The 17,185-nt window shown below is 32.4% G+C and overlaps 1 protein-coding gene and 1 long non-coding RNA gene across 7 annotated transcripts in view; one reads left to right on the plus strand and one right to left on the minus strand.

Moving 5' to 3' along the window:
* Positions 1-17,089, plus strand: part of PCDH9-AS2 (PCDH9 antisense RNA 2) — an 89,863-nt gene extending 72,774 nt beyond the window's left edge. The window contains exons 5-6 of the long non-coding RNA NR_046527.1: positions 16,456-16,544; positions 16,995-17,089. This is a non-coding gene — a long non-coding RNA (PCDH9 antisense RNA 2). The remainder of the gene's footprint in view (positions 1-16,455; positions 16,545-16,994) is intronic.
* Positions 1-17,185, minus strand: part of PCDH9 (protocadherin 9) — a 927,503-nt gene that overhangs the window by 595,109 nt on the left and 315,209 nt on the right. For 4 of the 6 annotated variants that reach the window (XM_017020619.3, NM_001318372.2, NM_203487.3 and 1 more), the window contains exon 3: positions 5,562-5,663. The exons of the other annotated variants lie outside the window; for them this stretch is intronic. In XM_017020619.3, coding sequence (XP_016876108.1) covers positions 5,562-5,663 — 102 coding nt within the window. The remainder of the gene's footprint in view (positions 1-5,561; positions 5,664-17,185) is intronic. 6 annotated transcript variants of the gene reach the window in all.

Genomic DNA, 17,185 nt, shown 5'->3' on the forward strand with positions numbered 1-17,185 from the left:
CTATTCCCAGTTGGGCATGTCAGGACTTAACTCTAACAATTCTCCAGTCCATGATGTATTTTATTTGCCATTTTTCTGAGGTGCAGTTTTGGAACCTTCATGGTAAAAGGGTGAAAAACTTCTTTATCTAGTGAGTGAGCCAGACTGATGCCCAACATGCTTTCTCTAATACTTGTTATATATGCAATGTTTCACAGTGACTGAGATGTAAAATATTGCTTATCATTTTTCTTAATTTATTGCACTTTGGAGAGCAATGTTACTAACAATTTAAATATTTTAATATGTTAGGAGTTATTCCCCAAATATGTATGCATGTATTTAAGTATGTAAATAACATATATGTGTGTGTATATGTGTCATTTACTAGCCTTGGGGTTTTCCAAAAAGCTGTCTTTATGAAGAAAGAAAAAATTTAGTGTTATTAGTAAATATCTATTAATTGTAAATAACTTTATTACTCTAAAATATAATGTAAAAATCTTCAGAGAATTATTGCTAAATGATTTACCTAATTATTTTAGTTTTAAAGCTGATATCAACAAGAACACCTATTCTAAGGACTGAACATATTTATTTGTGTGCTTGTACATAATTATGTAAATATACTTGGGTAATATGACTACATAATCATGAAGCACAGGAAAATACAGGTATGTGGTATAATATTCATAATACAGCAATAACAGGAAAATAAAGGTGTGTCGTATAATATTCATACACTAAATCAGATTTCGTGTATGAATATTTTTTTAAAAAGAAAATAAAAGACCAAGTAAGACAAAAGCAAAAGGGTTTTGGCTTTATATCTTTCCTATTTTATTATTTAAAAGTAGCAGATAATGTTACCATTTTGCTCCTGCTCCATTTGGTATTATTTAAACAATAGAGTTCTAGGCTGTGTAACAAACTGAGCCCCGTTGTACTCTAGCTATCAGTGTGTCCTTGGTTGGTGATGTAGGCTCAAGATCACCTAGGCACCCATAACTTTATCTTAATGTGGAGGGAAATTAGACTTACCTTGAAGACAGTTGTCTTGAATTAGGTAGAAAATGTGAAATACAAGACACATAATAATAGTTTAATACATGGGAGTTCTCCTCTCACGCACCCCTCTTACTCACCATTTGACATATTTTAATTCTATTAAATATTTCTATCACATGACTCAATTGGCAATTTTATGAAACCAATGGTTATTTCACTTATACGCATTTAATGAATCCAGCAAAACCTGTGTTATGAATTTACATAAAAGGTCAAAAATATGTTCCTTATCAAAATGGTTTTCTCAATTTTTCTGTGGAGATTTATAGCAGTGGCCCATCCTGGGATATCTTAATCAACCATCTGCATCCATGAATTTCATACTCATGATAACTGCCACATTTCCAAAGTCTAGAGGCTAAAATTCACAGTTAGTTTAAAACCCTTCCACCAATCTCCCTAACTCTTAGAGCTAAGATTTCCATCTGACACTGATTTTCGGATTTCACCCCTACAAGGGAGAAGTCCTATCTCAAAAATTCATACACTGAACACTAAACCATTTTGTAAAATATTCTTTAGCTCAAGCATCAAAAACAGTGACAGGGAAGAGCTACTCATACTGAGATGCAGTCTTGTGTGAATTCCAATAACTATGAGACATTTTCCTACAGATTGCAGAATACAGACACTGAAAGCTCTGCTTGCATTATATACTGTTTCATGGGAAAAGGGAATGAAATATAATAGAAACAAAGTGACAATGAAATACGGATCAAAAATGCTTATTAAAGGCATTATGCATTTATGGCATAAAAACAATGTGCACTTTTTTATTCCGGTGCTTCGATTTTAATCATTGCAATGTTTCTGTGTACCCAATGACAAAAGGTATGTCAGGGAGAGAAAACTTAAACATGACAGTTTAAATTCCACACCATTTTTAAAATCTAGTTTAAGAAAGAACTTCAAGTATAAACTATTTTATTTAACATTTGTTTGGAAACTTTGTGTTTGAAGGTAAAGTCTTTAGATTACTCTGGGATCAGTAATTCTAGGATCGAATTCTAATGCTATCACTAGCTAGCTCTGAGAGGTAGGGCAAGCTACTCAATCGCTGTTATCTTCACGTTATGTTTCAGTAATATGCATAGGTAATCTCTGGTCTCTGACAATCAAATAGCCTGTGAGGTTTTTTGTTTGTTTGCTGTTACTTAGATAATATCATGGCATAGTTATCTTTGCAGTTTCTGAAGCCATGTGGCTGTGGCTATCTTCCAGCCCACTCATTCCTGTCTGTGTGCATTTGAGCAAATTACATAACCTCTCAGTGTCTCCTTTTCCCATCTGTAGAATAAGAATAATAATCATACCTACCTAATGGGATTGCTGTCAGAATTAAATAAGCTATATTCCAACAATTCTAATATTAAAAACCCCTTATTTTTGCATGTATTAAAACAGGACAAATATTAAAGAAATCAAAAATAAGCATTTGTCAGAGTTAAATTGGCAGCATTTTACCCTAGCAGTACATAAAATTGTAGCATGTTTATACTCTAGTGGTAGATGAGAAGAATTATTATAATGCATATGACGTGCTTAGAATAGGGTCTGGCACAACTTTTTCTCAATAGCTGATATAACATTTCTCTATAAGTAAGCAATACTTCTTACATCTAAATTAAGAGTGATAGGTTAATAACAAGCTAATAATAATTAAAAGCTTGCTGGTCACATCAGTCTCGGTTTTATTATGTATCTAGTGTCATAATATAAATTTAAGAATTTCATCCAGATTAGTCAGCACTCATTGACACCGAACATGACTCTGTTTAATAGTATAGTTTTCTACAGTTAAATATTTGTGTGTGTTAAACAGAACAATCATCTTTCTTGTTACTATATTAAGGTGATTAAAAGGGAGGGGAAATATAAATTGTGAAAAAATAAAAATTAGGAAAATACCTGCACTTACCAGGCTCAGTACAGAATTAAATATAATGAAAAATAACATTTCAGATGCCAATTTTGTAGGTTATAATCACCTTTCATTGTTAATTCTCAAGAATAATTAACACTAGATTAATAACCTTAAAAAAGTGGTTACTAAAACTGCCCATTTTATTATTGGTCTACAGATATTAAGCATTTATACAGAAACCTTGCATCTTAGAATGTTTTAAAAAAAACTCGAAAGATGACATCACTTATCTGTTTTCTTCAAGTTTTATTTTATAAGAAATTTCAGATATTGTCTCTCTGAATTTAATACAAAATGCATGTTAAAGAAATTAAATGTATTATGATCAAAAACAGTTTAGACTAACCAAGGACAAAATGTGAATGATGGGAGAATATACATATAAACTTCTTGAAACAGTCCCTAGCACAGAGTATGAGGTACTATTTAACACAGAAAGATATTTAACTGTAGAAAACTATGCTGTTAAATAAGCATAAGTTGTCAATATCGTCATCATTATTTAGTATCACAGATCATCAGGGATGGGTAGGACCTTCCAGACAACCTAGTTCAAAACCATTCAGAGAAAATGGGCCTGGAGAATGATGGTTAAATGAGAATTTACGGAATGAAAGATTTATAAAAATATTTTGTCTTCTTTGTTTATAAATAAACTATAGTAGATTTACTTTCACTGTTCTTTCACAAATGGACTAATAATATAAATAAACATCATAACTCTAGATGTCATTTTTTTTCTTCAAATTCCCTAGACCTTTAGTCAAACCCTGTGCAAGCTGTCTTCCTGTGCTTCGGACCTTATAAAATATCTAAGGGAGAAAAAAGTATGATTTATAGAAAATTATTTGAATTATGTCTCATTTATATTCTCTACGAAAAATACGAAAATCTCCAATAAATCATCTCACCACCTTTGGTAATCAAAGGGATTTTCTGAGGAATATGGTTTCTGAGGAGTATGGTTAAGTCAATAAACACAAACATAAAATGTTATAAAAATAAATATAATTCTTAGAAATCTGAAATCCACTTGGATCTTAATGACTTGCACAACATCCTGGGTAGGGTTTTGTACTATTTACCTTAATCTTTACTTATGAGAAAAAATTTTTCTCTGCCATCCAATTAGAACTATTGTGTTATTGTTGGTAATTAATGGGAACAATTGTATTATCTTAGATAGTTGAAACATACACAGTGAAGAGGAAAAAATCAAAGGGTTGGAAACTATGGTTCTTCTCTCAATGTTCAAGAGATTTAGGCTTTGGATAAAAAAAGAAAGAAAAATATAAAAAAGTATATATGCTGAAGTTTAGAAAATCATTTCTAAGTATTTAGACCCACACAAAGAAAAAGAAATAGAATAAAAATATGCAGAGAATTAGGGGATAGAGCTGTTCGAAATATTGCTCAATCCTCTTTCAACTTCCACTAATGTTTTATCTAAAAAGAAGTTGCTTTCTATATTAAGTTTATATTAATCAAAGTAGTTTCTTCAATATACATTACCAGTGGGATTTTTGAAAATAATAGATTCCTTTAGATGGCAAAAGCAATAATTATTACAATTTTTTTTTTACTAATCATGATTAAGAAAAGGTTTGAAGGGAATGGAGGGGACCTACGTTCTGTAAGAAAACAGAATACACACACAGGCACACACACATACGCATACACATGCATTACCTCTCTTTCTACAGTCTATATGTTACAGCTGTAAAAAAATACGTGAAACAGTATGTATGTTTTAATATTAGTTAACTATTAAAACATAATTCTTTAAAAATGGGAATCTTCTTCCATTTCACAACAATGCAAAAATAGTTAACACGACTGAACTCTACACTTAAAAACGGCTCAGATAGTAAGTTGTATGTTATGTGTTTTTTTACCATGACTTAAAAAAAAATACATGAAAGATAGTAGATTTCTATACCCAGCCATACTGGAATAATTGGCACTGGAAAAACCCTTCCAACATAAAAGAATAAGAAAAGAACAACTATGGATCTTCTACCTTTTAATGTGGATGAACTAACTTTTTTAAAAAAGAAAGTAATGTCTTTCAAGTTCAAAAATACAGGGAAATAAAAGATCAAACTGATATAAAGTAGTAAAAAAAAAGGAAAACTTCATTAAAATTCAAATTTAACTAGTCATATTAAGCAGCAATGTCTTTCTCATTTTCCTCAGTATGGGAGATGAATCGAATTAACCTTTCAAAATAGTTGTGCCTTTCTTTTAGTTCAATTAATAAATATGAATCAATCCAGAACATCTAGCTTTAAAAGAAAGTTGCTTATTACTTTCTTTAAAAATAGGTAAAAATCAGTACTTTTCATTCCATGTTACTAACATTATGTTTGAGAGTTGGATCATTACTCAACAGAAAAAAAAAGATATATATCGCTGGATTTTTGTTCTAAAATTATTTACTTAAAATTATTTTCAAAAACATTAGTATAAAAATGTGACCACAGAAGAGATGGGCAAAGACAATAATACTAATTAAGATAGAGTATTTAAAATCATGAGGAAAATGAAAATTTATCAGTACTAACATGTTCTCTATAGATATATGGCATACCTCGTAATGGCTTTCTTCATTCTCCTGAATGTGGAAACCCGTGGAGCTGGGACATTTCTGAGGAGTGACAGGAATATTGTCACTTTTGCTGTGTGAGTTACACTGAAAGAGATTACCAAATAATTGTGACAAACTACTCCACATTTAGAGTGTCCATTGAGAGACATGGCTGTTTGCTATGAGCCTAATAAAGGAATACCACTTGAGCTAACAAGGGTCCACACCCAGAGATACATGCATTAAGATTGAGTCTTTACCATAAAGATTTTTTAATTGTCCCAGGATAAACAAATTGTTAAAACACTTTTACTAAAACTAAAGAAATATAAAATTTAGTAATTTTACTTTTACCTTTTTTAGGCAATATTTATTTATTACATTTATGACTTTGGTAGCTAAAAGTTATACGGTGCTATTTGGGTGAGATATTATTTAAGAGTTTGATATATATTATACACATATTAGCCTGTGACATGGATATTATTAACTACCTCCACTTAAGGAAGAGGAGACTGAAGCATAATTCCTCCCCCAACAAAGCTGTGCTGTTGCCCAGCCTTTTGGGAACCATTCCCCATATCCTTAGCTACCACATGAACTACCTTTATAAGTGATACATTTGAAATAGATAAAACTGAAAAAAACAGAAGTGTAGTGTCTTAAAATACTAGTTGACTTATTTTTCTACTAAATAGAAAGCATTTTTAAAAAACAGGTTATCTAAAATAATTTACCTGGAAATTGACATGAATTATAGAACATAAGATATTACATTATGGCTTGGCCTTTCTCTGTGAACATATTAAAATGACAGTTTTCCATATTCCTCACACAACTTTTTCATGTGAAAATAAGACATTTTCCACTTCCTGTTTTCTTACTTCTTTTCTAAATCTTTTATTAGACTCAAGGCAAGCAATATTTGTAAGTATTGCTGTCTGGCCATTTATTAAACATAACTTTGTAGGTTTTAAGGTTTCTACTTTGATAAAAAGATATTGTTGTGCCCCCAGAAAAGGTTCATCATTGATATATACCTTTTCTTCTTAAATAAAACTATAATATATGCATCGATTTCATTACATTACAAGCAAAGAGACTATTCTTTTCAAAACTAGTATGCCATGTTTCCTATTCATCAATGAAATGCTACCTTTACTATCTCAAAGTAAAATCTGTTAGAAAATTACTGTTAGACATTTTTAAAAGCAAATGTGTTTTAGAATTTTAATATATTGTGTTCACTCTATTTTCATTTCAAGACCATCATTTTATATATTTAAATATATGTTAAAGCACTGTCATTACATTTTGAAGATATAAATTATCTCATTTATTTTTATTTGTTTAAAATAAATAGCTATGTGACAACTAAGAAGGCATGACTTTAAATCCATATATCCATCACTATAAGCCTTTTAGCATGAAAAAATATTTTATATCTGTTCTCTCTCTACAATTTAATTTTAACTCTATTCAAAACTTACCTCCTCTAGCAACTCTTTTCATGCGTCATTCAACAAATGGTGATTGCCATTTTAACCTCTGTTTCTAAGTAACTTTCATGTGTAATTTGTAAAATGTTCCCTTGTAATGTTAATTATTTGAATGTTCCTAAGTTTTTTGTCTGAACAAATTCACTGTTAGCAACAAAGGCTTCACAGCAGCTTTTTTGGCATTCAAGAAAAAAAAAAGCATAGACCTTAAAACAGTTATTTTCATCTGTGATGTCCATAGACATTTTAATTATTCAATTCCTATCCCTAGCCTCTCCACATATCTATTCATGCTGATTAATCTTTTTAAAAGGTTTCATGTATCATATAGTTTTTCTCCTAAGAAACATTTCCTAAATTTCTCTGGCCCAGCAGTGAGTCTCACCCTGACTGTATATTAGAATCACCTGGGGAGATTTTTAAAAATGTCAATGACTGAGTCCCACCTCACATCAGTTAAATTGAAGCTCAGACATAAATATTTTTAAAATATTCAGACAATTCTAATGTGTAGCCAGAGTTTAGAATCCTTGGGTTAAGGTTAAAACTTCCTTGTCTAGCCCTCAGGAAGCTAGAGTAAATTTTGGCCTCACTCCGATTTCAATCTGATATCTTGCTCCATAGAATTTTTTCTTCCTTTTTAAAATTTAACCCATCATATTGTTTTTTTCCCCCATGGATATATCATAAAAGTGTCTGAACCTGAAAAAAAAATCCTATATTTGTATAATACTTTATGCTTTAAATACAAGAACTTATGTATTATCTACAAGGAACCTCTGTAGACTGGTAGAAAACATAATCCATCCTATAACAGATTAGGAAGACACAGGTTCAGGTATATTCAGTGCCATTTGCTGAAGGATTTGCCCTGTAAAAGCAGGACAAGTGTTCACTCTATTTTGGGCAATTTCTACTGTACCATATCTCCCTTAATGGGTTCATCTATAACTCATTCATTCACTCATTTTATTCTGTTTGTTTGTTTGATAATCAGACTTTTACTGAGTGCATGTTATGTGTCAGAATTGTACTGGATCATCAAGATATGGCATTTAATATCTGTAATACTCTCACTCTAGCCCTGAAACAATACATGAAAATAAATAACCACCATGATGAGTGAACATGCCACCTGAAAATGTATGCAGACTGCTAAGGGACAGAGAAGAGCATGCATAGACTCCCAGATTTGATACATGAATAGAGAGTCTCGAGAGGTGGACTGATGAGGGAATCATGGTTAGCACACATTTGAGACAGAAGGAACTGCATATGCAAAGGTGAGAAAACATGAATTCTCATGAGCCATGAGTAATTTGATAATAGTTCAAACATGAAGAATGTGAGGATTGATTTCAGAACAGACAGAAACTATCAGTGCATTAATTCAATAGCACAACATATAGTGAGAAGTTATAGAATTGGACTTAATATAAGGGCCAACAGTGCCAAGAGTGAGCTTTAAAGGTCATTCTTTTTCTTCCAACTTTTCCAAGAAAATATGCAACATAACAAAATGAGCGCATTTGGAATATCATTGTGATGCCCAGTTAAGTCCTTCCATCCCTAAAAGATCTCACCCCCAAGCCTCTCCTGTGTTTCATTCTGGAGCAGCTCCTGTTTTTGGAACAGTGAATGGCATGAAAGGAAAATTTCTAACTTACTGTTCTTTCCTTACTTTTTAAAATTGAGTCTTTTGAGGTAAATTTCTTCTGCAAATTAATATATAACTCAGAGCAAAATAAAAGAAAAAAGTAACACTGTAAACAATATTTTGAGATTAACTATTATAAATACCCAAACTTTTAAGAAAAAAAATTCTTACAGGAAAAAATTTAATCACTATGAATCCTCCCTAACAAATTTCTACTTCCGGGAGAGTTGCAGCATTTTCTAAAAAAAGATTTATTTTAAAAGTCTCGGCTGGGCGCAGTGGCTCACGCCTGTAATCCCAGCACTTTGGGAGGCCGAGGTGGGCGGATCACCTGTGGTCAGGAGTTTGAGACCAGCCTGGTCAACATGGCAAAACCCCGTCTACTGAAAATATAAAAATTAGCTGGATGTGGTGGTGCATGCCTGTAATCCCAGCTACTTGGGAGTCTGAGGCACGAGAATAGCTTGAGCTCGAGAGCTGGAGGTTGCAGTGAGCTGAGACTGCACCACTGCACTCCAGCCTGGGCGACAGAACGAGATTCTGCCTCAAAAAGAAAAAAATAAAATAAAAAACTCTCAAGGTTCATCCCACCAAAAAATTTTACTGTTTGCCCAATTTAATATAAATAACTGCGTATTGAATTATGGGTAAGATGCATTTGCTAAATCAGATTTATATTGGGGGGTACATATGTAAATCAAACTTGAGAAGTCTAAAGCTCAATAACAACAATCATATTCAATGAAAATCACTGAAAGTACATTTGTTTTATACTTTAAGACCAGTTTGCTATTTTTCATCACCTATGATTGAAAGTCTGTATTGCAATATGTGGATAAATCATGCCACTCCAAAACATCCATTGTAGTTCCTGGGAAAATTATCATTCACTACCTATAGACATATCTGCTCAAAGTTTTCACATAATCAGGTATTTTTACTCTTTCATTTTTGAAATAAATTTTCAAAAAAGCACTTCTAGCCATATTAAGAGAAAAATAATCAACAGTAGCAAGAACAACAAAAGTTTTATGGAAGATCTTTTTATGAAAAACACAGCTGTTTTCTTTGCTAAATAGGGGGTTCTTTACATTTTCAACTCAATGGTAATGCAGTAGCAATGCTTAGTATTATTTATTATTCTATTACTACTCCTACCTTCTTACAAAATCAAGATTGTTTACTAAAAATCAATAGCACTTTCATAGAAGTTTTGCAGTCATTATAGAGGCAATAGTTTTGTACTTTTGTGCTATAGGTTTCATTAAATAACAATTCCATTTATTTAAAAACTCCCACTGAAAACGTTATTCCTACCCATTTTAAAAAACTAAGGATCCTTTTCATGAAGAATTCTAAAACAGAACATTTGTTTAATAATTCCAAAGAAATTTATGTTTGCAGAAATGAATCTACTTTAAATAATTGTCTAAACTTGGTATCTTCAACTTCTCTCTATGCATTTCTTTAGAGATCCACATGTATTAGGTTTCAAGCACGCCCATTCCACTGAAATGGCCCTGCTACCATCACCTATGGTTTTCACGTTACTAATGCAAATGGCAGTTCTCAGTTCTTATCTAATGCAACACAACTAAGTACTACCTCTTCTTGTTTCATTTATGTACTGGCCTTCAAGGATGCTATACACTCATGGCTTTCTTTCTTCTCCTGCTCTCTCTCTGGAATCATTTAACTGTTCGTGTTGTTGTCAAAACTGAAAGGACTAGAGAGGATAAAACTGAGTACTTCCTCAGAAAGTGTTTTCTTCAGTGGAGTCTGTTTAAGCAATTACACCCATATTGAACAGGTTCTGTTTCCAAAATATTTTCTCAGACACAGGAACAATCTTCTATTCATAAGATAAGAAAAGATCTCTTAGAACACCCCCAATCATTATTTCATCAAAGCACATATCTTTATACTTACATCTAGAAACTAATAAAATTTATATTTTAAGTGACCAACAGTATAGATTCTTATTATTTCTGAAAATTTGTTCTGATCATTTAGTATCCTGAAATTTATTCTGGCCCAAATAAGGAAACCTTGAGCCTATACTCACAGCCTTTTCTTTAATGTTTTCTATGTACCTTCTTTTTTTGCTTATTTTTGTTATCTTTAATCATAACTAGAAAATGGAGCTAAAATGCTCATCAAACTTTATTGAACAAATCAGTGTTCAGGTGCAGTGACACATATTTTGATTTAAAATGAAAATGTCGTATGATAAATTTTAAAACCAAATGTTATATAAATGCAATCATATCATAGAATTGTAGATGGCTATAATACACATTAATTTAAAAACAGGGATTGCTTATGTGAAATAAGAAAAATAGGCAGACCCTAAAATGATATGAAGGAAATGTTACCTGTATCTATAGTATACAGAGTCTGTTTTTTTTTAATTGCTTTTTTGAGTCTCTTCTTTAAATTTTTTTCTTTAAAACTTTGAGACATAAATCAATGCACAAAAATCAGTAGCATTTCTACACAACAATAAATATTAGTCAAGCACCAAAACAAGAAGTTAATCCCACTTACAATAACTACAAAAAAGACTTATGAATATATTTTACCAAGGAGTTGAAAGATCTTTACAAGAAAAACTACAAAACCCTGATTAAAAAAAATCATAGATTGCACAAATGGAAAAATATCCCATGTTCATAGATTGGAAGGATTAATGTTGTTAAAATGACTATACCGCCCAAAGCAATCTATGGATTCAGTGCAATCCCTATCAAAATGCCAGCATCCTTTTTCACAGAATTACAAAAAAAAAAACATATCCTTTTAAAAAAACACATGTTGAAAATCCATTTAGAGGCCAGGCACAGTGGCTCACGCCTGTAATCCCAGCACTTTGGGAGGCCCAGGCAGGCGGATCACGAGGTCAGGAGATGGAGACCATCCTGGCTAACATGGTGAAACCCCATCTCTACTGAAAATACAAAAAATTAGCCGGGCGTGGTGGCGGGCGCCTGTAGTCCCAGCTACTAGGGAGGCTGAGGCAGGAGAATGGCGTGAACCTGGGAGGCGGAGCTTGCAGTGCGCTGAGCATTTGGCTTAGTCATCATGCTTTCTTCCTCCAACTGAACTCTTGGCAGTTCATGACAAGGAGTAACTTTGTCACAGTAATATATTAACTAACTAGGTAAACTTGAATTTATCCATTGCACAAACAAATAAGCTTATGTTCAACTTCGGGACCCTGACACATGTTCCTACCCAGTGGATTTTGCAAAGTTCACCTTTTCAGTTCTTCTAGGGGCAGCAGAGCTTCTTCAACCCCACTGCAAGTTGACTGACACCCTTCAATACTCTCTTGACCCTACAGATAATGCTCATCAATTCCTCTATGTAAGTCCTCTTCTGTCCTCACAATTCCCATTCCAGATCTTTCCACCTAGAGATACCCTTTTGTCTTCCTTCTTGATGTCTCAAAGGTAGGAAAAGTCCTCTCTTCTCCCTCAAAAGCACTTCCTTTCTCCTTTGTTCCAACAAGCCATTTTATTTTTTAACCAGGTTTGCAGAGGGTCCAGCCAGATGGAGGTAGTCACTACAGCTCAATGAACAGTGAGAAACTGACTGTTGCACGTGGGATTTATGAGAAAACAAAAGCTGATTTTATATAGTCTTCTGGCACAGGCCATTAAATAGACCAGTTGGCTTCCCTTAGTTATAGTTCCATGTGATCAAGTGAAATTAATGATAAGATATATTTCTTATTGTGCACTTAGTTGTTGCAAGTGGGTCACTTGTAAAGTGTTTGTATAATATTTACCTCAATTCCCTACCTTATGGTACAATAAATGGAACCAGTACGTTCCAAAACAGTTAAGATATAAGAATGCTTTATGCGTAAAAAAATCTTACAAATTTAAGTAAAAAGAGGATTGGGGAAAAAATGCTAAGGATCTTAAAGTCCGAAGTAATTCAGTAAGTGGATTAAGCTTATGTACCAGATAAAACACTTTTTTTTTCTTTGTTTAGAAATTCTACTTTTATATGCTATTCCAAGATTTAATGGTCTCTATCATAGGCTGGCTGACATTTTTCAAACAATTCTAACAATTTAATAAAATGTTTAGGTGCCACGTACCGTAACCAAAAAATAGCTTTATCCTAGCCTTTTATTGCGTAAGTGGTATTTCAGAGAAATCTTTTGCCATAAATATCTTGGTTACTATAAAGTTTTAGCAACTCTGTGCATTGTCCATTTCCTGAGAATGCGTGTTCCATTGAGTTTCTGTCTATGTGTGACTTTCAAGGCTTTTCTTAAGAAACTTTTGACAAATGCAGAAATAAAGGAGACAGAGATAGCAATAGAGTTATATTCCCAAAATAAATAATCATTTAGCTTTGGAGAAAGCTCTGTTAGGCTGAATTTATTCTCCTTTTCTCAGCAAACTATTTAATGAAAGTGGAGAGAAAGGCAAACATAGTTTTTTGTATTCTTATAGAAATTTTGGTAATGCAATCAAGAATTAAGCAATAGAACTCTATGTCAAACTTATTCAGCAGGTTCCTTCTAAATGTGCAGTAACAGAACTGACCATTAAATGTGCCAAAGACTGTTCAAGGCAGATGTGCTAGGTTGCTGGGCATGGGGGTGTGAACACAATTCTGCTAAATGAATAAATAAAAACAGGAATAAGATCATGTATTTGCCCACATCTGGCTGTAAATTCCTTCATAAGTAATTACTATACTTCTAACCTCTCTAACTTAATAGAGATAAACTGGATGCAATTTCAAGTCATTACTAACCAAGGAGGAACAAAACAAAACCATTTTTATGAGAATCACAAATCGTAGCTGCTTCTGTGCACATTATGTCACTTTTTCTTTAAATGGTTCATGGATGTTATATGAGTTTTATGCAATTCTTTTAACCCAGTTGCTATGAGCACGCACTGAAATAAAATTTCCTTAGAAAGTATACTTCAAACACTAATGGTCTACACTTTACAATTTTTCCATTGGTTCCCTCCTTATATTATTACCTTACTGTAAAGCCATTTCACAAGAGCAATAATGCATTGAAAGGTTTTAAATTACAGGATTACATGTTATATTGCTTGAGCAAAGCTCTATTAGTCAGCTTTGCACATTGCAACTTAATTCTGTATTTTAAATAAGTGGATGCAAGCAATGCAGGACTTTGGAACTTCCCAGACCCTTGAAAAGAAATGAAAATAAATACTTCTCTTCAAACGTATTCGAAGGAATACAACAACAGACATTTTTGGGTGCCAGGGTTAGTCAGGATTATATTTAAGACAATTGTTTTGCAGTTCATTTCAATTTATTTCATTATTTACTGCGATAAAATCCCTGGGAGTTTCCCCATATGATTATCATTTAACTGTATTTGTACCTTGAAGAAAAACTAAAATGGAAATTTCTGCAACACAGATAAAAGTAGATTGACTAAACATTTATTAAATTTCAAATATAATTGGAGAGGTCCTGTTTTAAAAGTGTTCACTAGGAATTTAAGGGTGAACATTTCCAGATTAAATTGAAAGACTTCAGAGATGGAAAAATAATCAGTTGCCTTTGCTGATTTCTACTGTTGCGTTTCATTTTCTCTCCAGATAATTGGTGTTTCAGAATACACAAGTCAAGCCCTTTTCTAAACTTTCTAAGGAGTTCTGAAATACTGACAAATACATACTGAAACTGACTTGTTGGAAAACAACAGTATTAGTTTATAGCATGTTCCATTAACTGCATATATGAGCCTAAAATGGAGACGAGCCCAGGTGTATAGCGATGGGCTCTCCAGGCAGAAAATATTCTCCTTCTATACAAAGGTGGCCATTTGTGAATTACATTCATAAGTGTGGACACACACACACACACACACATACACACCATGCTTATGAATACATGTTTTATGTATGTGATTATCTTGTTCATGTAAGTGATTGCATAAATGTGTATTCATGGAATATTCATTAAACAAAATCAAGTACTATATATGCATAAAATATTTCATTTTAAAATATTTGAAAAATTATACATTATATTAATACAAATATTTATTTATAAATTTATAAAAGTGCCATAAATAAACCATATACCTTACTAAGTTAATCTATGTAATACTTAGCATAAATGCATCCTGGATTTTAGGGCAAAATCTTTCTGAAAAAATATCCTCACTAAGAATTATAATTACATTTTGAAATTTCTGTGGTAAGGAGAGGAGTTTTAAAAGCCTAAATTGAATATAATTTCTAGTATTTTGGTTATATTTCTTTGTATTATGAAAACTGTTTGCCCAACATAAACCTTCAACGTAATGTTAGCCTTGGCTATGTGCATGCCAGTCTTTAGAAACAGTCTGCAAGTCAACCTTCAGCCAATGAAATCAGGTAATAAATTCGGAGATTCAAATCTGGCATGCTTTAAAGTGGGTTTAAAATTCAAGGCTGTGTCAGTTATTTGAATATTGTCTTTTCAAGGCAAATTCTTTAAAAAGTTCAGTGGTTTACTATGCTTCTCTTACTGTGCAAAACTTTATAAAACCAACCCTGAAGCTTGAATTTATATTTGTAAGAGTATAGATCCATAGAGAATGGGGTGGGGGAGAGAGAGAGAAAGGAGTGCATAAGTTCTTTTTTTTATAGTGCACTAAAAGCAAACAAACAAACCCTACACTCTGAATACATCATTTCAAATTGTGTTTTTGCAAGTGGAGTGTTTCATGTTTTGATTTTAAATTCATTTATGCAACTTGTACAGTATCTAGGAGTAAAAATGTCTCACTTTTTAATTACCGATTTAGAGTAAAAAGGATGTTCCAGAATACCCTGGAAATGTACCACCGGCTATGTAGGGGGTGTTGGGCTTGAACCTCAGCTCTATCATCATCTGACTTAGTTTCACAGCCTTGGTGGCCTTCTCCGTACTGTGTAAGTTTAGACCAAAGGATCTCCTCTGCTTATCCAAGTCGAAAATGTAAGATATTATTATACATGTTACCTCAAAACTTGATAGATTTTTATTTGCTCATTCGCTTAATATCTCTAACTTTAGACTTCTATAAAATGATGTAAATAAATGATTAGTTGATCTAAATGCTTCGTTGTTAAAGGGACTGTAGGAAAGATGAAACTTCACCATGGCTTTAGTTATACATTTGCTTATCTCATTGATATCTCTGAAAATATGTGTTACTCTATTAAAACTAAATTATGATTTTTAACTCTCATTTCCACATGTTTTTTTAATTCACAAAGAGAAAAACACCATAATCAAAGGCCTGATGTTTGTTGACTCTACCTCCACTTTCTTTCCAGAAAAAGAATTGGTGCTTTGAATACCTTTTGGAATAGTTTAGAATAAATCAGGCCAAATTAAAGAAACTAATTACAGTGATGTTGGATAGGAACTCTTCAACAAGCCTAAAACCTAACTAACTGTGAATGTTTAAAAGGCCAGAGTGTTTTTTTAAATCTATTTTTAAAATGAAAGTTCTGTATGTTTTAAGGAACAAAATCAAAGTATGCGAGAAACATGCTTATTTTCAAGGTCTTAAAAATGTTTCTTCTTATAGGTCTGGGTAAAGAATCCCTGAAGGAATATACTTTAACAAACAAGGAAATGTCTGTAGATGTAGTCACTGTTAATAGAGTCTGTCTTTTGAATTACTTCCTTTGTCTCCAAGCTTCAAACTAATATAACTTCCGCAAAACTACTTTACTGTTTATCTTTTAATCCTCAGGCCACAGAACTGTAACACTTAGAAGACTCTGTGGAATACGAACACTTCTCTGATTTATCCTCATGAAATTGTTTTCCTGATGAAAGGAGGTATGTAAAGAAACCGAAAGAGATTACAGAAACCTATACAAAAACCTACTTTGAAAATGTATATTAATAAATATGAAGCATAACTAAGAAACACATTTCATTTTTGGAGAAGAAAATCATAAAATACTATGTGATTGTATACTCTCCTCAAAAAGCACATTGAATGCTGTAACTTTTATGAAGATTCTCTCAAATAAACGCATACATGCATTCATTCATTCAAATAGTTTTGAACTTCATTAAAAATACATATAAGAAATAATTTTGTCTTCAAAGAGTTGACAGTATATCAAAGTTCATTTTGATCAATTCTCTACATCTCACAGATATATTCAGCAACATATATATGATTTTAGAAAATTCAAAATGGTGGTGAAAGAAGAATAAAATTCAAAAACAGGAGAGTAGATAGTGTTATTTCTACAATGTGTGTGTGTTTTTTTCCTGCAGTGTTCTTCAGAAGAATACAGAATGGATATCTCTTTGTTGGAGAACAACCGTATTTTTGTTTTAAAATGATATTAAAATAAATACATTTACTTCAAGTAAGGATTATTGTTTCAGTTCATAGTAGTTTTCTATGATATGGAGGTGGGGGGCAATATTTAAACATGATTAAACAATATATAGAGAACATTTTA

This window comes from Homo sapiens, chromosome 13, assembly GCF_000001405.40.
Source record: "Homo sapiens chromosome 13, GRCh38.p14 Primary Assembly".
In the NCBI taxonomy this organism is placed as follows: domain Eukaryota; kingdom Metazoa; phylum Chordata; class Mammalia; order Primates; family Hominidae; genus Homo; species Homo sapiens.